Source organism: Homo sapiens, chromosome 5, assembly GCF_000001405.40.
Source record: "Homo sapiens chromosome 5, GRCh38.p14 Primary Assembly".
In the NCBI taxonomy this organism is placed as follows: Eukaryota; Metazoa; Chordata; class Mammalia; order Primates; family Hominidae; genus Homo; species Homo sapiens.
The window spans coordinates 13806194-13828812 of NC_000005.10; the positions used below are offsets into that span (position 1 = coordinate 13806194).

A 22619-nucleotide genomic window follows, 5' to 3' on the forward strand; every position below is an offset into this window, starting at 1 on the left:
TTAGCATCTTGCCAGCCTAGGGTAATTTAATGTGTCCTTTCCCAAACACGAAAATGCCACTGCTAAGTCACTGCAATTTGGGGTTGACCATCCATCCAGATCTGCCCACCCAGACACTATATGAATGGTATTTATTTGATAGAAAGATAGCCCATACTGGAAATCCTGTCTCCTCCAGAAGAGTATAATGAAGCTGACAGTCTTATTTAGAAGTTTAATCAATGATCTTAGTGTATTGGCACTCCGCTGTCACCAATTAAATTAAGTGATAAAAAGTGGTGATTTAACCATGCCTTCAACAAGTTTCATTGCTCTGATATTTTCATTCCAACAGCTAAAGAACAACAAAGTTCATTAAAAGCAAAGTTCTTTGGATTTGTGTTCCCCTAAAAATTTCCCTTCTATTTGCAATTTATGACATGTATCTTCTGGTGATATATTAATGTTCTAATAAAAATATGAGAGATAATTTGCAAATCACTGAAGCATGTACTGACATTTAGGATTTCCTCCTCAGTTTCAATAAGGTCTTGTACAATTTAGGACCAGGAGAAAAAGAACTATTTAAGCCACTGCAAATCTAGGTCATTCCTGGTGGTTTCATTGGGAAAAAAAAATAAACAACGCAAACTTGAGGGGTTTTTTTTCTCTCACACTTCTGTGATACATAGAGCAAAATATTTCATATCTAAGGGTCTAAGATTTTATACCTTGTTGCAATTGAGCATGGGAGCTAGGGTGGAATGTTAAGTCGGGGAACAAGATTAAAGTGGCATTCTAGGAAGTAAGGAGTGGAAGGTATAAAAGCTAGACTGAAAGAGAATTCAACTTGAACCAATCATAGCTGGGGATTCTTCCATGCCAATAACCTGGTACGCAATCATGCAGAAGTGGATTACCTAGAGGTAAACCAGGAGCATGAAGATAAAGAAATAGATGTGAAATGCATTTCTTTTGGTACTGTAACAGCCTTTGAGACCTGAGCAACAGGGACGCATTAAAGATTATTACAAAGTGCCTAGCCTAAAAGAGTATTAGGAACACCTTCAGGCAAGCAGACTCTAGGGAAAGGAAGTAGGTTTAGGTGGGGAATAAATGATTTTCTTTCAGTTTTGGATTTTGCGTGTTCACAGTATTTTCTACATAGATATTTTAAACCGCATTGAGGCCTATAGCACCTTATATAAGCTTTTAATGTTTCCATAATTTAAGATGTTATATTCTAACTAGGGAAACTATTGCAGTTGAATAATTGAAAGAATGGAAGACGTACGTGGGTGATTTATCATGGCTATGAAAATTCAGATGAGATTCAATTGAAGCAGAATAGTAGAGATTTGAGCCTCCAAAGTTTATCACAAAATTGGGCTTACTGAGCCATACCAAAGAGCCAGTACCTGGAACATCAGTGGGGTGGTTGCAGAAGAAAAATTCAGACTCTTGATCATGTGACATTCAGGATCATATTTTGACATAAATCCTTTAATTATTACTGTTTTGGCTGTTCCTTGTTCACCAATTAATAGCACAGCCTAAAATAGAGGGAATTGAAAAAAAAAGAAATGAAATAAATGAGTGTGATGGGCTGAATTTGTCCCCCCAAAATTCATATGCTGAATCTTCAACCCCTAGTACCTTAAAATGTGATTCTATTTGGAGATAAGGTCTTTAAAGAGGTGACTAAGGTAAAATAAAGCTGTTGGATGAGGCTTATTCCACCCTAACTCGTGTCCTTATAAGAAGAAGAAATTTGTGGCCAGGTGTGGTAGCTCACACCTGTAATCCCAGCACTTTGGGAGGCTGAGGTAGGCAGATCACCTGAGGTCAGGAGTTCGAGACCAGCCTGGCCAACATGGTGAAACCCCATCTGTACTAAAAATACAAAAATTAGCCAGGTGTGGTGGTGTGCACCTGTAATCCCAGCTACTTGGGAGGCTGAGGCAGGAGAATTGCTTGAACCCGAGAGGCAGACGTAGCAGTGAGCCCAGATTACACTATTGCACTCTAACCTGGGTGACAGAGACTCCATCTCAAAAAAAAAAAAAAAAAAAAAAAGAGGAAATTTGTATACACAAAGAAACACCATGGGAAGAACACAGTGAGAAGGCAGCCATCTACCAGCCAAGGAGAGGCGCCTCTGAAGAACCCCAGCCTGCCAACACCTTCATCCTGGACTTTCAGCCTCCAGAACAGAGAGAAAAGAAACTGCTGTTGTTTAGGCCACCTAGGCTGCGGTATTTGGTTACAGCAGCCCTAGCAAACTAGCTCAGCGATCAAAGCAGAAGGAATCCTTTGGGGAAAAGCAAGTCAAAATTTACTTTCTGTCAACTCATACATAAGAAATAATTACTGACTTATGAATTAGAACTATTCAACTCATATTTTAGTGGGGAATAATAAAGGAATAGTAGGTTAGGTGACATTTTCGTGTATTCTAAACTGCAACATAAAACATTTTATAATAAATGCAGGATGCTTCATGTTGGCTGGGCACGGTGGCTCACGCCTGTAATCCCAGCACTTTGGGAGGCCGAGGCGGGCGGATCACGAGGTCAGGAGATCGAGACCATGCTGGCTAACATGGTGAAACCCTGTCTCTACTAATAAATACAAAAAATTAGCCAGGCATGGTGGTGGGCACCTGTAGTCCCAGCTACTCAGGAGGCTGAGGCAGGAGAATGGCGTGAACCCGGGAGGTGGAGCCTGCAGTGAGCCGAGATCGCGCCACTGCACTCCAGCCTGGGCGACAGAGTGAGACTCCGTCTCAGTAAATAACTAAATAAATAAATGCAGGATGCTTCATGTCTCCCCTTAAAATATGCTACAGTTAATAAAAATTAAAAGTCATACCTTGCCCTGTTTAGCAATGGTTTGAATTAGAAAGTCAGTCCTCACATTGTCAACATTTGGCACCAGAATAGAACCATACTCTGGGGTGGTATCAGACGGATACAGGTATTCCTGGGTACGCGTGTTCCAGTGCGTCCATGTACCTAAGGTGAGCAGAGGACATTTCCATCTCCATATTAATAATTCAACTCCGAACTGTAATGAGCAGACATCCTTGAAATCTTATGAGGTCACCTTCCAAATTCTCCCCATAAAATGAAGATCATTAAAATTAGAGATCTAAGTACACAAGTATGTGTTAGCTGAGTCAAAACGTCCCAAGGAACAATTTCAAGGTGGTAAACCTAGGAAATACTAGGAAGTATTTTGGAATTTTTTAAAAATATATATTAGTTTTCAATAGCATGAAATATGTATAAAAATACAGAACAGAGTGAGAGTAGTGTGTATCTAAAATCATTAGTCACTTTCGAATGTCTAATCTCACACTTTTCATTAGGCAAAAGATCCTAGGCTGATGCATATGTATATTAAATAGTTAATACATTATTATACACCCACATATATGTACTTCATTTTCTGTATAAATGTACTTTATATATTTATACATACACCAATAACCTTAAAGTATATATACATACAGAGATAAAGATATACAGCTATAGATACACACGTATTTGGCAAAAATATACTTTAAACTTTGTGACTTTTATACAAATTGCTGATTATATTGAATGAGTGACAGAAATGGATCTGATTTGGTTTTTTAAATGTTTCTTAATTCATTGAAAGTTTAGTGCACAAGATATTTAACAAGAGGAAAATGTGCATTTGAAATACAAAGTAGATTTTTTAAAAAGAAACCACTGTTCACTTTCTTCACACACGAACGTTTTCATATCTTACAGCCAATAATTATAAATCTCATTTAGAAAAAATATATATGGTGTAAATATTGGCCATGTAGGAAAGAACGGCCCCCATGGGTTCCGTCTGGACGGGCAGGTGTCCTCACCATCGGGCGCCACATAGTAGTCGAAGGCGGTGTCCCCGGGCCCCGCTGGCGGCGGCAGCTCCAGCGTCCCTGTGGGCCGAGAGCGCAGCCAGAGCTCCAGGCGGCGCCGTCCGTCCAGCTCCAGCGCCGCCCCCGCGCTCCACAGCAGCGCGAACACGAACAGCCGCCCCAGGTGAGCCTGGCTCACCTCCCCGCCTTGCTCCTGAGAAGGAAAGACACTTTTTTTTAATAACTTGATTCTGAAACCCAAACGTTGCTCTAGGGTTTCAATGGGAACAGTAAACATAGAAACAAGACACTAGTTGCCCTCCAAGAACAAGGGAAAGGATGAATACAACTGGAGAACAAATGAAGAACTGATCTCTGAGAATAGCAAGCTGCCTTTAAACATAATAGGGTTGGCCGGGCACGGTGGCTCATGCCTGTACTCCCACCACTTTGGGAGGCCGAGGCGGGCGGATCATGAGGTCAGGAGCTCGAGACCATCCTGGCTAACATGGTGAAACCCCGTCTCTACTAAAAATACAAAAAAAAAAAAAAAAAAAATTAGCCGAGGGTGGTGGCGGGCGCCTGTAGTCCCAGCTACCCGGGAGGCTGAGGCAGGAGAATGGCGTGAACTTGGGAGGCGGAGCTTGCAGTGAGCCAAGATGGCGCTACTGCACTCCAGCCTGGGCGACAGTGCGAGACTCCATGTCAAAAAACAAAACAAACAAACAAAAAAACAGGGTTTATCGCAGCACTGTTCACCACAGTCAAGACTTGGAGACAACCTAAGTGTCCATCAACAGATGAATGGATAAAGAAAAGTGCTACATACACACAAGGGAGTACTATTCAGCCATAAAAAAGAATGAGAGCCTGTCATTTGAACAACATGAATGGAACTGGAGGTTATTATGTTAAGTGAAATAAGCCAGACGCAGAAAGACAAACTTGGTATATTCTCATGCATCTGTGGGAGCTAAAAATTAAAACAATTGAAGTCATGGAGATAGAGTAGAAGGATGGTTACCAGAGGCTAGGAAGGGGAGTGGGGAGGGGTGAGGAAATGGGGATGATGAATGGGTGCAAAAATACACAGTGATTGCAGTCAGCAATAATTTGTTGTGCATTTTAGAGTAACTGAGGGAGTCCAATTGTAATGTTCATAACACAAAGAAATGAAGAATGAGGTGATAGATACCCCATTCACCTTGATGTGGTTATTACACATAGCATACCAGTATCAAAATATCTCATGTACCCCATAAGTATGTATACCTACTATGTACCCACAAAAATTAAAAATTAAAACACACACACAGTAATAATTTTGGGATACCCGTTGCATGACTTTGTTAACCTGCAACTAAATTCCAAATCCATGGTTAGCTGTATTTTTTGTTAAAGGGATATGAAAAAATAAGTATATATGTGGGATCCATGTTTGAAATATTCCCCCTCCCCAACAGCTCTAACCAAATCTAATTTCAAATATAGTACTCTCTGTATAGCATGGCTACATTAATAAGAGAGAAAATATAGTACTCTCTGTGCAGCATGGCTAAGTTGATAAGAGAGAATTTCTCTAGAAAGTTGAGCAATTTACCTTCAGAGGAATCAGGCCTTGAAGCATGTTAATGCTCTGTGTGATGACAAAGGCCTCCAGCACCTCCATCTTGTATTCTAAGTTCTGGATACAGAAGCGATACAAGTCTGGGAAAGACTCGGTGTACAGCTGACGAAGAATTTCTGCTTCTTGAGGTGAGCGTTTCTTAAGAAAACCCTGTCAGTTCACAGACAAGTGTATTCATGAAACTTATTAGCACACTAGGAAAATGGTCATTTGGGGACAAAAATTTTAAAAGTATCTGTTAATAATGATAATATCTAATGATTATACCACACACTATGTTCCAGGCTTTGTTACAAACTCTTCCACGTATTAATTCACTTAATCTTCAAAACAACCCTACAAGGTAAGAACTGTTATTATCCTCCTTTTACACATGAGGAAACAGAGGCCCAGGAAGTGTAGGTAGCCTGCTCAGGAGCCCACTGCAAGCAGGTGGCAAGGGCAGAATTCAGACCCAGAAAGCCTGGGCCTACATGTTCAGCTACTACACTATCCATATGCTCACAGATGGAGAAATAGTCTTCAACTCTTGATTAAAATATGCTGGGAGAAAATGAGAAGGCACATATATGGAAATAACTCAGGGGGGAAAAGTAAAGAATAAAAGATGAACAAAGGAAATCCATACCCAGGTTTTTTTTTCTTTTTTTGAGACAGGATCTTACTCTGTCACTCAGGCTGGAATACAGTGGCATGATCTCAGTTCACTACAACCTCCACCTCCCAGGCTCAGGTGATCCTCTGGCCTCAGCCCCTCAAGCAGCTGGGACCACAAGTGCATGCCACTACACCCAGCTAATTTTTGTAATTTTTGTCGAGACAGGGTTTTGCCATATTGCCCAGGCTAGTCTCAAACTCCTTGCCTCAAGCAATCTGCCTGCCTCGGCCTCCCAAAGCGCTGGGATTACAGGCATGAGCCACTGTGCCTGGCCCCCAGATTTTTTTTTAACAGAAAACAAAGATTTACTACAATTAGTTGTTTCTTTTTATTTCTTCTAATTTAATTAATAAACAATGTAGAAAAATATCAAGGATATTCATGAAAATGGAGAATTTAGTCATTTGAGAAACCTAGTATTAAGAAACTGCATCTCATAAATACCACTTAACACACAGCGTTTCCTTAAGATGAGGCAAGTTCTCTTAAGGTCAAGAGATCAGCTCATTCTTCACCTCAGTATTCCAAGAAACAATTAGAGACTCTGAACAGAAGCAATAAAATGTTGATTCTGAATTATTCATTAGTTCATGAATTTACCATGATTCTACCTCGACAAAAACATAACATAGCACTTTTGAGTTGATGGAACCGAAAGACGACATTCACTAGGGCAGGTAACCAGGTTGGCTCCCTGAAGCTGACAGATTGTCAGCAACACAACTTTTCAATTACTCTGCCCTCTAATAACTCTCAGAGCTGGCCTTCCTGTTCTAAACATTTCCAATCTGATTCTTCTCATGAGTCTTGCTTTTCCTAACAATTTCCAAAAAAGAAAATGCATTATTTAAAACATATAGGATATTATGAGGTGGGTATAGCATTAAAGTAAAGGTCTTATTCAGTCTCAGTATGGACAGACTATAGCAAAAGCTTATTTTATAAATAGCAAACTCATGCATTAGCTAGTACTCCTTAGCTAGTTGTATAAAAGTATTTTTCAAAAACCTTTTTGAAATTGAAGTATTTTGGAAAAATCATATATATACATTTTCACTGGTAGTTTGCTGTACCTGTGGTTTCCAAGCCTGGCTATGTGAAAAAAAAATGTTGTGGCACTTAAAAGAAAAAAAAAAAAAAAACAATCCTGAGTTGCCTCCCAGAGATTCTAATTTGGTAAGATTGAAGTGTAACCCAATCATCTGTATTTTAAAGAATTGTCATTAGTGATTACTTTTGCAAAAACAGGGTTGCAACCCTCTGCTTTTATTCTCCTTAATGGGTGGATAATCTAATTGTGAAATCTGAAAACTTTACAACTATTTTTAGTGACACATTCAACTCTATGTCAACATCATTTTGCTATATGATTCCCTCCTTCTTCCCATCTTCATACCAAATCTAAAGCCTTTTGCAACAGAGTTGAGTAAATTCTGGAAAGACATTAGTAAAAAGTTAGGATATAACCATATAGAAATAAAAGTTTGAAAATGTAATGATATAATGTAAATAAACATCTACTTTATTTAAATTAGGAATTTAAATGTTTTCAATCAAAATCATCTTCGAAAAACTTAGGTGATGAAAATATTCAATATAACCAACTATGTAAAACAAGATTTTTCATGTGGCTTATCTAATAAACATTCTGCCTTACATTATAATATTTATATAGCAAAATATCTAAGTATGCAAGGCATTTATTTATAATATAATTTTGATCAATATATTCTAGGATATATTGCTGGTAATAAAATAATATACCTGATTATGAATTGATGAGATGTTATCTGAAATATTATTGCCAAGTTCAAATTTGGAACTAACGTTATAACTAATGAATCTCATAAAAATTCCTTATATGCAATTTTAATAAACTGACTCCAAGTTAATGTTCTAAGATGGTCCTCCTAAACTTTATGTGAATGTGTACCTTTCAAAAATATCATGAATCCCCAGATTGATCAAATTAAATTTTACTTATTCAGTCCTCAGACACAGTTTGGCAACACTGTTGGTTCATACAGGCCTGGCAATTACTCTACAACCCAGAGGTTGGAAATCCCAGTTCAAAAGTGATTGGAAGAGTAATGAAGAAATATGTTAGGAGCAATCAGGGTTTGAATGTCCCAGTGCATTCAAGTATCTTCCACAAACATTAGCATAAAAATGCAGTTACACTGCCATCTGCAGAAAAATTGGCACACACACTAAAAGAATGCTAAAGGATCTGTTTTCCTTTTTAATTATACAAAAGAAGGATTCAATTATACCTCAAGAATAGGACTCCAATCAAGGATAGAAGAGCTCATGAAAACCATTCCATTTCTTGAGACGGTGGCAGGAGAAGCATTGTCAATGTTATGAGGCTCGAAAATGATCTTGCAGTTTGGAGCCATGGGAATCCGATCACCATTGGCAAGGGTTAGAGTTTTGTTATCATCCAAAACAGAATTCAGATTTTCAATCCAGATGGCATCTACTGGACCATCAAGAATTATCCAGATATGTTCCCCTAGAATACCCCACCAAAGGGAAAAAAAAAATACATACACTCATGCAGTGCATGTACACATAAGTTTAAAATAGCTTGAAGAACTATTATATTAGATGTAATTTTCATTAATTTTTAAATATAGTTTTGCTCCAAATGATTACCTTGTTTTATTACAAAGGATCTTCAAAGATCTTTATATAGTAGTCAAGGCCCATAATTAAATCAAAAAGTAGTTTGTTTATTGGACAAATATTCATTGAGCACCTTGCATATGTCACTGTTCTAGGGGCTGAGGATATTGTGGTAAATGAGACAATGTCCTGCTTTTGCAGAGCTTACATTCTAAGGAGTAGAGATGACAAGCAAACAAATAAAAGTTTAACATACAAAAAAACTAAGTAGAATGAGGGCATGGGGCATGTTTTAGATAAGGTGGTCGATAAGATATTCCAGGAAGAGAATGAAGTGATGTAAAGATCTAGAGGTAGAATATTCCAGACAGCAAGAACAGAAAGTGCTAAGCCCCTGAAGCAGATACAGGCTTAGTGTAATACAATGGACTGAATGTTTGTGTTCCCCTAAAATATCCTCATGAACAAGATTAGTGCCCCTATAAAGAGACCTCAGAGAACTCTCTTGCCCTTCTGCAACATGGGGTACAGCAAGAAATCAGCAGACTGCAACCATGAAGAAAGCCCTCCCCAGAACCCGACCATGCTGGCTCCCTGATCTCAGACTTCCAGCCTCTGGAACTATGAGAAGTGAATGTCTATTGTTTATAAGCCACCCAGTCTCTAGCATCCCAAACTAAGGTGATCACGTTCCAGGAACAGTAAGAAGTTGAACCTGAAGGGCAAAAAGAGGAGGAAGGGGAGAGGTATATGAGGGCAGTGGGAAAGACAGAGCTATGGAACCCATTCTGGTTTGCACCTAAGTCTAAGGCATCCAACAGAGATCCTCGTAGAGTTGCTGAGTTGGGAATTCAGGAGAGAGGTCAGGGCTGGAGATTAAAATGTGAAAGTCACCAGTTCAGAGATGGGATTTAAAGCTGTGGGACTGGGTAAGTTTCTTCTAGATAAGTGTGGAGAGAGAAGAGGGCTGAAGACAGAGGCTCTGTAACCCTTAGGCTTCTGGCATGGTCTCCTGTGTTTGCTCCCCTTTCTTCCAGACTTCTCAAGGAAGCAGAAGTGGAAAAAGAGCTAGCAGGATGAGGAATCCCTGCAGCCCAGAGAAGGAAGGGTTTCAAGAAGGCAGGCGATCAACTGTGCCGAATGCTCCTCAGGGCAGTACCAGACTGAGAACTGGCAATTTGTATTTGACAAGCTGGAGGTCAGGGGTGTCCTTGATACAGCAATTTCAGAGGAACACTGGGCAAAAAACTTGACAGCAGTCATACGAGGAGATACTTGGAGGTAGAGAAAATGACAAACATCAGCAGATTGCTCAACAAGAATGTCATTGTAAATTTAGGTATTTGATTTAATAATAGCATTCCTCTTAATTTCTCAACTACTACCTTCTCTTACTCACCAACACCATGACCTGTCTTGTGGTTCTAAATTTTCTTTGCTATGCAACAACCGTGGGATAGTCTATTTAAAATAAAATGCTTTGAAAATCCTAATCAAGTTCATTCAACTAGCAATTCAAGTAAAATGGTGATCTAATCACCAGAGTCACTTTGAAAGAAAAAGCATATGTTGCCTTTTTTTAATGTGGAAAGGGGAAAAAAAAAACAAAAAAACCTCTGCGCTCTTGTTCTTTTAAGTCACATTTTGTCACTGGGTCTGTGTTTACAGTGGGTTAGTGGAACAAATCAGGAATAAAATTCGATTTATTTCCAGTAGAACAAAAACAATTTCTAATATGAGCACTTTTTTAAATGAAGCATTTTCATTTCTCTTTCGACAATTTATATTAGCGTTATTAAATGCGAGCGTCAATGGTACTACTTTAAACATTTTTCAGAAGGACACTGTTGCCCAAAGGGTAAACCCAGGAAGCCCAAATATCTCCTCCTTCTCCTGCTTCTTTCTCTCTGCAATTGTATTCACTCTGCCTTTGCCTGCTCACTCAGGAGTGAGGAAATCAAATGAGAAGAAAGCTGATGTCACCTCTTCCCACCGAATTTATATTCTGAGAACATTGGGTTCAATTTACAAAGTCCATAAGTGAGGGACTATTCAGACTGAACCGCTAGCCCTTAATGAGTTTGTTTAAACAACTGAACACCAATGTCCATCTACACAGAATAATTTATTAGTTCAATGTAGACTTCATTTTTGCTATATACAATTTTCTCTCCCAAACAACCCATTTTCTCTGTGACTTTATAGAGAAATCAATTCTTTAAAAATAGGCTGTACTTAAATGAGAGCAACACTGGTAAAATATTCAGTGAAAATAGTTATGGTAAAATCACTTTATTCAATATTATCAATTTTCCTTAACAGCTTTTTCCATCTATTTTATTCTAAAATATCACAGGGATACAGACATATTTTTTTAGAAAATATTATTTCCTAAAAGGGAGCATTTTAAATACTGTAATCAATAATTCCATTATTTCAACTTTCACAAATATCACACTGATTTATGACTTCTTAGTCTTGGCTAAGATATTATACAGCAAATACAGTTGTTCTACTAATTCTGTATAGCCTCCAAGGATTCTATCTAGAAGTATAATCAAAAATAATCCTTGTAATTTATCTTCTACCTTTCTTTGCTCTTAATGTTTTCCTCCAAAGCGTAGAAAATATCCCATCAGTCCAGTCATTTGTGGCAACGTCCAGCCGACCAAACATCTGTGGGGCAGTAATCGCTTTGGGATTCATCCTCATTTCCCGATGTGGTTTTCCACAATCTATACCAAGTAAATCCAAATTTTAGACATCTCAGATGGGAAGTGAACCATCATTAAGCAACATTGCACTAATTTGTGGTGTACTGTCAGCAGGTGCTCAAAATATGAAAACTGCAGAACTACATTGAAAATATGTCTTACTGCATTCTAAGTTACCATAATTAGCTTCATTATACTTTATTGACTAAAGCACTTTTTTATCTTCTTTAGAGAAAATTGCATATTGTTTAGGGGTGAAAAAAGATACCATGCTGGAATTTATGAAGGTACTAATATAATCTGGAAGCTCTCTAAATTTCATGGCTCAAAAAAAATCTTTGGTTTAAGCTACACTAGATTAAATCTTCTGCCTGAAATATCACCTAGAAGATGCCTCATTCACTGCATTATCAGCTTTGATTTGTGTTATGTTTTCTTGCTCACCTTGAAAACGATAAGCTAAATGAATTTTGCATGAATCAAGGACTTTCTTTTGTGACCAAGAAATGTATTCAAGAAATGTATTCAAATCTTTCACACCCTAAGCCGACTCTTCAGTGGGCTGGGATTCTGTGCATAAGGGACTGTGGTTAATGAGCAGAAGAGTGAACAATAAGGTTTAAAGTATAAAATTATAAAAATGGGCAGGGCATGGTGGCTCACGCCTGTAATCCCAGCACTTTGGGGGGCCAAGGCGGGCAGATCATGAGGTCAGGAGTTCGAGATCAGCCTGGCCAACACGGTGAAACCCCGTCTCTGCTGAAAATACAAAAATTAGCCAGGCATGGCGGAAGTGCCAAAGCACTTCCTTGCGTATATCATGTTCTCTCCAATCCCTCCTACTGACACAGACTCTTTTTTTCTGCTAAAAACATTTTTTATCAATCTGGTACTCAACCCTCAAGCCTCGGATGAAGTAGCACCTGGTCTGTATGCCTTTCTATAATTCCTTAGAGGATTTTCTCATCACCTTGGCCTCTACTCATGGGATACTTGTCCAAACCTTCCTTATAGCAATTCCCTGTTGAGTTTTAATTATCTCTGTCTATGTCTATGTCCTGCTTCTAATACAGAACCTGACAGATCTTCAAAGTATGCAATATTAAAGACACTTGATGAGATATATGCTGAATCAGGGGACAAATAATATGCATCAGCCCTCCACGTCGTCAGCAGAAGTTAAATTATCTTCTCAACCTTTTGGATTATTAACATTTTCAGTGAGAAACAATGGTTCTTTAAGTAAGATTAATGTTTCCTCTACTACTAAAACCAAAACCAAGTTCATAAACAGCAAATAGTCTAATGATTAATTCTTCTTTGCAAGGAACTTCTCCAGAATCAGTGATGCCATACAGATTACATAATTTAGATATACCATACATAATGTATCTATATTGTTTAATATTTAGTACTCATTTTGTTCGAGTCATTGTACCGTGTGCATTTAAAGTTTATTGTTAACAGAAGGCAGCTTCGTCACTGCAACAAAAATATTATTGAGAAAAATTTGAGAGGAAGAACACAATTATTTAAGAAACATAAAAATCCCAAAACAGAATCTTAACAGCATACATGAAAAACCACGTGATAAGTCCTGCAGGTTGGAGTGGTCCATTTTGGTAGAGGTAGATGTTAGCTGAGAACACACTTTATCTCAGTCTGAGGACTGCCTGGTAGAGTCCTGATAGACAGAATTCACTTCCTCCAATAACTGAGGAAACAAAGACCAAATCCAACACCTGCAGGGTCCCACAGTAAATACTGGCAATCCTCAGCAACCACCAACAATGTACCAGTGTTGCATCAGTAGCAGTGCACTGAGGTTCCGGGAACTGCCTGAAAGCCCACCCAGGTACCTCTTTGCTGGATGGGCTTTCAGTCAGCTCCTAGAACCTCAATGCACTGCTATATATTTTGCATTCCAACCGTCAAGGTTCTGTGACATTTTGGAATGTCTACAGGATGCCAATATTTTTAGAAAGAGAGTCATCCATGTCTGATCAGAACCAGAGAATACAAGAATAATCATGAATGTGGTAATGTCCATTATCCTTAGATGACTTTAGATGTAAGGCTTAGGGACATCTGGAAATGAAATGCATTTATTTAACTTCACTAAAATAAATCTGATTCCAAATGGGAAGGTAATTTATGATTGGGATTGGGATGACTTCGGCATATAGAACATAAGAGTTGGGTTTGGAATTATTTTCTATTTATTGAGAGACAGTGTGTTGTATTTTGTTTTTACTGGGAAATGGCATGGTATGTTGGGAAAACTGGGCTTTTTTTAAGCGCGCCCTGACCTTAACTCTGAGTCCCATCACTTACCATCTTTGTGACCGTGGGCGTTTTTGAATTTGAGCCTTGATTTTTATACAAAATGGGGATAATAATAACCACCTCTCAAGATCATTGTGAAAATCAAATTACATAACATATGTAAAACATACAGTGCAGTGCATAAAGTCACCTAAAAATGTTTTTTTTTCTCTCTGGTTCATTAATGTAATATGTTATCTCTAAAATGTTCCCAATAATTAATAAAGCAGTATTTCCTCCTATAAAAATATATTATTGTATCTGCCTGTGTATCCCTCTTGGGCATTCAAATGGGTCACCACTACTTAAATGGGCCACCCCAGGCATTGACCTTGGCTGCCCTGTACCTGTCATGGCTCTCATCAAGGTGTGGATGCAGGTGGTCTTCCCAGCCCCACTGGGCCCCAGAGTCATCATCCCATGTCGCACTCTCTGCGTTTCGAATAGCTGGATGACCTTCAGTTTCCAAGGAGGATGGTTGATTAAACCAGCTTCTTCAACCTGAAAACATAAGAGAATCCCCACATTGAAACACAACAATGATGGCCGGACACGGTGGCTCACGCCTGTAATCCCAACAATTTGGGAGGCCGAGGCGGGCAGATCACAAGGTCAGGAGTTCAAGACCAGCCAGGCCAACATGGTGAAACCCCGTCTCTACTAAAAAAATACAAAAATTAGCCAGGCATAGTGGTGGGCACCTGTAGTCCCAGCTACTTGGGAGGCTGAGGCAGGAGAATTGCTTGAACCTGGGAGGCAGAGGTTGCAGTAAGCCGAGATTGCACCACTGCACTCCAGCCTGGGCAACAGAGCAATACTCCGTCTCAAAAAAAAAAAAAAAAAAAACACATCAATGACAATCTCAATTTACCATTGTGCCACAAAAAAATACACAGACATAGGGAGGAAGGAGGAGGATTTACTGTTTAATGAGTACAGAGTTTCAATTTGGGATGATAAAAAAGGTTCTGAAGATGGATGGTGGTGATAACAGTTGCTCAACAATGTAAGTGTGCTTAATTCTTCTTAAAAATGATTAAAATGTAAATTTTATGTTGTATTTTTACCATAATAAAAAATATATTGCATGAAAAATACATATTTACATAGACAAAAATCTGGCTGAATGTAATGAAGATGTTATCCTAAACTAATAAGAAATATCTGCATTTATCTTTGGGAACTGAAAACATTTATATAAATATTCGATTGAATGAACCTCTGAGGAGCAACTTAAAAATAAAGACTCAAACAGCAAAATGTATTTTAAATGTTTAATTTAAAAGGTAATACTTACAACTAGAAAAATGGATAGCATACTATGTTGATTGAAATTCCATATAAATTTCAAACTGTCTTTATATGTCCACTGCAGAGTTTCTATCTATCAAGGCATGTATGGAAGTTACTCTGTGCCAAATATTATTCTAAGATCAATCTTTATAATAACATGATGGAAATCTTTATAATAACATGATGGAAGGGATGCTATTAACATCTTCCTTTTACAGATAAGGAACTTGAAGCAGAGTGACTAAGCAATTTGCCCAAGATGATCAGCTTGTGAAACTATGGAATGCAGATTTAAGACCAAGAAGTTCAAATCCATGGTCTATGCACTTAATCATCATGCTATGCTTGAACTCACAGTACGTAATGATTTCAATTTTACTTAAATAATTTTTATAATAATCATGTATCACTTTATGCTATGATTTGCCCTTCAGATTTTTATATGCTACAAATTACTAACGTAAGTCATCATATCAACTACTTAATGCTTAGCTTTTTTATATTTTTATATATTTTTTAGAGATAGAGTCTCATTTCTGTCACCCCATGTTGGAGTGCAGTGGCGTGATCACAGCTCACTGCAGCCTCAAAGTCCCAGGCTCAGGTGATCCTCCTGCCTCAGCTGCATGAGTAGTTGGGACTATAGACATGCACCACTGCACCAGGCTAATTTTTTAATTTATTTGTAGAGACGAGTTCTCGCTATGTTGCTCAGGCTAGCCTCAAGTAATCCCCCAACGTTGGCCTATCAAAGCACTGGGACTATTGGCATGAGTCACCACCCCTGGCCCAATACTTAGCTTTTAGGTAGTGTTAAAATTAGCCAAAAGATGAAGAAACCACTTGCAGACAAATTATCACTCTTACCTCATCAGAAAATTCAGACATTTATATACTAAATTTTTAAAGCAAAATATAAACTAAGTACTGCTACATTTTGATTTCCTTTTTTTTTTTTCATTTGTTTGTTTGTTTTTGAGACAGAGTGTCCCTCTGTCACTCAGGCTGGAGTGCAGTGGTGTAATCACTGCTCACTGCAGCCTCAGCCTCCCAGGCTTAAGTGACCCTCCCACCTCAGCATCCAGAGTAGATGGGACTATAGGCACATGGCACCATGCCCAACTAATTTTTTGGATTTTTGGTAGAGACAGGGTTTCACCATGTTGCCTAGGCTGGTCTCAAACTCCTGGGCTCAAGCGATCCACTCACTTGGCCTCCCAGAGTGCAGGGATTACAGGCATGAGCCACCACACCTGGCCACATTTGATTTTTATTATAAATATTTTCAAGGAATTGAAGTGCAATTTATAAATATGAGCTAATCACCACTTCTATAAAACATTTTTTTCCAAACTCTTCTTCATAGAAAAAGAAATTGAGGCATAAGGTTTACGTAATTAATTTTCATTCCTAGGAAGACTATAAAAAGTTAAAGCTGCACCAAGTACCATGGGAAGTCCAGAGACATCATGATATACATAGTGTGGTGGGTTCCCCCACCCTACCCACCGTATCCCACCCCCAGAGTCTGAGCAAGAAGCCACAAGTACTGAGGAAAGAGAAGCCACATGAGATCACTGCAAATAACACGCAGAGGCAGGCGACACAGCAAACACCAGGGCAGAAACAAGCTAAGCCAAGCTCCAGAGAGGCAGCCAGATGAGCCCCATCCAACCCCTGCTGACCAATCACATTTCATTTCTGCATCTGCTATGGAATGGTTTCCACCAATAATAGGGCTACTCGCACATGACTAGCTGGACATGTGGCTGTGCAATGGTAGGAGACCCAGGGCAAGGGGAGTTTGACTCGTGGTGTGCATTGGCCTCCCTTAAGACAGCAGTGTTAGCCTCACTGTTGTTATTTTTGCTGCTCAGAGTGCATAGGTTGGAGCCACAGCAGCCCCACTTTATTCCCATTAAATTCAGATGAAACAGACACCAGCCCTCGTTGCCCTGTGAAGCATATTACCTGTCTACTAATTGCTGCTTCCAGTTCAGGGTAACCTGCCTTGTCCAGAAGAATATTTGGAAAGAGATCTTCAATCAAACTCAAAAACAAGGGTTCATCCTCATCAATCTAAAAAAAGAAAATGGGAAATCAGACCAATTATTCTGGTATAAACATATCAATATGCAGATAAACTGGAAATGCCCAACACAGTCCGGGTTATTGCAATGTAACCACTAACAAATAACATATCACCTTTATTGAAGTTAAGAAACATTTTCCTCATCTTTCCCATAAATTAAAAAAAATAAAATAAAGAGGAAAAGAACAGGGAGAAAGGAAAGAAATGGAAGGAAGACAATACTGTCTATGTGACAATCTTTCCATAAAATAGTCAGTTTTGGGGGATACCATATAGTCTACAATTTTTAATTTAAACTTAAAAGAATTTTTAAATTAGAAATTAATAGCAGGTTTGTGAATTGGAATTTGGTGTATACTTTTAATTTAAAATAAAAATCTATCATTTTGTGACCCTTTACATAGATCCACGGATAGTGGGCATTGATTATCAGTCTCTATCGTGAAATAATAGTGTGAAACTATCACACACTTGTAGAGTTTACACATTATTTCCTACCAGGCTCTACCAGACTCCAAAGGTGAGATTTGAGTTCTAAAACACAAAAATGATTCAAGGTATTTGGCATCTTAACATGTGTATTTTTTAAAATCCACTGCAATTCTATTGGAATAGGCACATTTTGGAGTGGATAGGAATCATTACCCAAAAAAATGTCTGAAAAAGTATAATTTAAAGTGATGCTCTCCAGCACTTTATCTGACAATTAGGCATTTTAAATGAGCATTTTAAATAAATATTTTGAAGTCTCATGTATGGGCAGTTAGTTTAACTGATATCCAAGTAGGTGGAACACTTCCATCTGTGAGTCTTACCAGTTTAGAAAGATTCATGTCCCGTAGTACACGCATGACAATCGTGGACTCCGTATCCATTGGATTGGCTCTTTTTGCTGCTCCCAAGGTCCGAAGAACTGACAGAATGTTACGCAGGCCAAAGTCATAATGAACCTAGAGAATGTGAGATACATTGGGCTTATTTTCAACATTAAAATACTTGCAGAAGCCATATGAATCTGACAGAAATTATATTCACAATAATGAATAAATGCTGATTTTCCTTCAGAAAATGCATACACACAATGGGGTAAAATATTTCTATATAGATATACGTTTTGAGCAAATAGGGAATATCCCAAAGAGTCCTCCCATGTGCCATCATTAGCTTAAGCCCTTAGATCAGAACTAGCTGCTACAGCTTGGCAGGGAAAAAGGAATAAATTTCTTCTTGGAATACAGACATCCCTTTGAGCTTATTCTTAATCAATCATACATAAGGAAATTTGCTCATATCTCTACAGTTAAAATTCAGAACCAGAATTAAACTGGGACTGCACTCATGACTGTCATATACATAGAGATATATGTGCCTTTTTCGTGATAAGTAAGAAGACAGGAGAATCAGGGAGAAAAAAAGCACCTGCGCTTCAGGATTACCTGAAGGAGGAAGGATAAGGACAAATTAGAAAGCTAAGCCCCCAGCTTTGTCATTCCCTTACTAAATATTTACAAAAGCTCAATTATGTCAAATTTCAGCATATATAAAGTGAATAATCAAAATTTATTTATCCAATTATTGTGAAAAACAGTAAGGTGGTTCCTCAAAAAATTAAAAACGGAACGATATGATCCAGCACTCCCAATTCTGGGTATATAGCCAAAAGAATTGAAAGAATGTGCCAGGCACAATGGCTTACACCCATAATCCCAGCATTTTGGAAGACCAAGTGGGGCAGATCACTTAAGGCCAGGAGTTCGAGACCAGCCTGGCCAACATGATGAAACCCCATCTCTACCAAAAAATTACAAAAATTAACCAAGTGTGGTGGTGTGCACCTGTGATCCCAGCTACTCAGGAGGCTGAGGCATGAGAATCACTTAAACCCAGGAAGCAGAGGTTGCAGTGAGCCGAGATAGCACTTGCACTCCAGCCTGGGCAACAGAGCAAGACTCTGTCTTGCAAAAAATAAATAAATAAATAAATAAATAAATAATAAAAGCATGGTCTCAAAGAGATAGCAGCATATCCATGTTCATAGCAGCACCATTCATGATAGCCAAGAGGTGGAAGCAACCCAAATGTCCATTGACAGACGAATGGATAAACAAAATGTGGTATATACATATAACAATATTATTTAGCCATAAAAAGAAAGGACATCCTGTCACATGCTAAAACATGAATGAACCTTGAGGACATTACACTAAGTAAAATATGGCAGTCACAAAAAATCAAATATTATATGATTTCATTTATATGAACTATTGGCAATAGTCAAATTCATAGAAACAGAAAGTAGAATGATGGTTACCAGGAGCTAAGGGAAGAGAAAAAGAGAAGTTGTTGTTTAGTGGGCACAGAGTTTCAGTTTTTCAAGATGAAAAAGTTACAGAGATCTATTTCACAACATTGTGAATATACTCAACATTATTGAATTGTACACTAAAAATGGTTAAGATAGTAAATTTAATTTTATATGCTTTTACCACAACAAAAAAAATGTATAGGAAAAAACTACAGTCTTCTGCTAAGGTAATTGGGAGCAGTATGCCTCACTTAAGACTAGTCATTTGGAAGATGGAGCACATAAAAAATATTCAAATTGAGTTTCCACCTTCAGGGAATTTAAATTCTAATAAAGATAATAAAATAGAAATGTGAATAAACTTGTATAAAAGTAACAATGACTTAAAAGTGTTGGTGAGTAAACTTAATCATGGGAAACTTCCTATCAGTGTTGGATGCAGTTAAATCTGTGGGCATGAAGGGAAAGTCACAGAATGTTCACCAAGACATCAGTATGAGTCCAACTATTTTGCACACATTGATGTATTACATTTCACTATGATCTTGTGAACATGGGTGGTAGGAGTGAGGGAAGTAGTGAAGTGGTAGTGAAGATAAGAGCAGGAGCCAGTGATGTGGGAAGTTTTCTCCATTCAAGAAACAGCATGGAAAAAATATTTATTTGAAAGATAAGTGATATGGTTTGGCTGTGTCCCCACCCAAATCTCATCCTGAACTGTAGTCCCCATAATCCCCATGTGTCGTGGGAGGGACCAGGTGGAGGTAATGAATCATGGGGGTGGCTACCTCATGCTGTTCTCATAATAGTAAGTGAGTTCTCATAAGATCTGATGGTTTTATAAGGGGCTTTTCCCCCTCTTCACTCAGCACTTCTCCTTCCTGACACCACATGAAGAAGAATGTGTTGCTTCCCCTTCTGCCACAATTGTAAGCTTCCTGAGGCCTTCTCAGCCATGCTGAAGTGTGATTCAATTAAACCTCTTTCCTTTGTAAATTACCCAGTCTCAGGTATGTCTTTATTAGCAACAGGAGAACAGACTAGTAAATTGGTGCCACATAGAGTGGGGTGCTACTATAAAGATACCTGAAAATGTGGAAGCAACTTTGGAACTGGGTAACAGGCAGAGGTTGGAACAGTTTGGATGGCTCAGAAGAAGACTGAAGAAATGTGGGAAAGTTTGGAACTTCCTAGAGACTTAGAGGGCTCAGAAGACAAGAAGACATGAAAACGTTTGCAACTTCCTAGAGACTTGTTGAATGGCTTTGAGCAAAACACTGAGAGTTATATGGACAGTGATTTCCGGCTGAGGTGGTCTCAGATAAAGATGGGGAACTTGTTGGGAACTGGAGTGAAGGTCACTGTTGCTATACAAAGAGACTGGCAGCATTTTGCCCCTGTCCCAGACATCTGTGAAACTTTGAACTTGAGAGAAATAATTTAGGGTATCTGGTGGAAGAAATTTCTAAGCGGCAAAGCTTTCAAGAGGAAGCAGAGCATAAAAGTTTTGAAACTTTGTGCCCAATGATGCAATGGAAAGGAAAACACCATTTTCTGAGGAGAAATTAAGCCAGCTGCATAAATTTGCGTAAGTAATGAGGATTTGAATGTTAATCACCAAGACAATGGAGAAAATGTCTCCAGAGCATGTTAGAGACTTTCATGGCAGCCCCTCCCCATCACAGGCCCAGAGGCCTAAGAGGAAAAATGGTTTCCTGGGCCAGGTCCAGGGTCCCCCTGCTGTGTGTAGGCATGGGACTTGGTGCCCTGCATCCCAGCCGCTCCAGCTGAGGCTAACAATGCCTGTACCCCCATTGTATCTAGGGAGTAACTAACTTGCTTTTGATTTTACAGGCTCATAGGTAGAGGGGACTTGCCTTGTCTCAGATGAGACTTTGGACTTAGACTTTTGAGTTAATGCTGGAATGAGTTAAGACTTTGAGGGACTGTTGGAAGGGCACGACTGTATTATGAATTGTGAGGACATGAGATCTTGAAGGGGCCAGGGGCAAAATGATATGATTCAGCTGTGTTCCCACCCAAATCTCATCCCGAAGTGTAGTTCCATAATCCCCACATGTCACTGGAGGATCCCAGTGGAAGGTAATTTAATCATAGGGGCAGTTACCCTCATGTTGCTCTCATGATAGTGAGTTCTCATGAGATCTGACGGTTTTATAAGGGGCTTTTCCCCCTCTTCACTCAACACTTCTCCTTCCTGCCACCATGTGAAAAGGACGTGTTTGCTTCCCCTTCCACCATGATTGTAAGTTTCCTGAGGCCTTCCCAGCCATGCTGAAGTGTGATTCAATTAAACCTCTTTCCTTTATAAATTAACCAGTCTCAGGTATGTCTTTATTAGCAGCATGAGAACAGACTAATACAATAAGAATGAGTGAGTAAGGGCTCCAATAAGCAGAAGAAACCAAGAATGTTGGGAGACAAAATGTTAGGGTCAGACTAACCAGAAAGGCTCAATGGCCAGAGCCAGAAGAGTCTGTGTGTGTCTGAACACTCATAGGAAAAGAACTTTTTAGTAGGAATGTAATTAGGTTGAACCTGTGGGTATAAAAAGTAATAAAGATTCAAAGAAGTTTGAAATTAAAGCCTAAGTGATAAGATGGAACAAAGATTATATATGTTAGGAAGTGTTATTCATGTTATAGTCTCATGTTTATTGCACTGTGTCATTATTTAGCATATATTTCTAGTAATTTTTACTGATATGTACTAAAAAATTGTGGCATGATGCCCACCTCCTGGTGGTCATGTCCTTATATGATATCACCTTGAGAGTAGGCAGGACCTGTGATTTGCTTCTTCTAACTAATAGAATACAGCAGAGACAACAGGTTGTATGTGATTATGTGTGTGTGATTATGTGGTCACATTAGATTAGACTGTAGCACTCGTTTTGCTGAAACCACTTTCCTTGCTGACTTTGAGAAAGTAAGTGGTCATGTTGGGGAAACCCATATAGCAAGGAACTATGCACAGCCTGTAGGAACTAAAGGTGGCCTCCAGAAAATAGCCAGCAAGAAATCGAAGCCCTCAGTCTTACACCCTCAACTAACAGAATTCTGCTAACAACCTGAGTGAGCTCAGAAGTAGATTGTCCCCATTC

At 38.8% G+C, this 22619-nt stretch overlaps 1 protein-coding gene across 15 annotated transcripts in view; it reads right to left on the reverse strand.

The window, feature by feature from the left end:
• DNAH5 (dynein axonemal heavy chain 5) overlaps positions 1-22619 on the reverse strand; it is a 321491-nt gene that overhangs the window by 115866 nt on the left and 183006 nt on the right. For all 15 annotated transcript variants that reach the window (XR_001742034.2, XR_001742035.2, XM_017009177.2 and 12 more), the window contains 9 exons: positions 18006-18140; positions 17070-17177; positions 14153-14306; positions 11355-11501; positions 8412-8653; positions 5454-5630; positions 3866-4067; positions 2851-2993; positions 1398-1532 (listed from right to left, as the gene is read on the reverse strand). Coding sequence is in view for 13 of the 15 variants with exons in the window: in XM_017009177.2 (XP_016864666.1) it covers positions 1398-1532; positions 2851-2993; positions 3866-4067; positions 5454-5630; positions 8412-8653; positions 11355-11501; positions 14153-14306; positions 17070-17177; positions 18006-18140 (1443 nt within the window). In the remaining 2 variants the exon portion in view is untranslated. The remainder of the gene's footprint in view (positions 1-1397; positions 1533-2850; positions 2994-3865; positions 4068-5453; positions 5631-8411; positions 8654-11354; positions 11502-14152; positions 14307-17069; positions 17178-18005; positions 18141-22619) is intronic.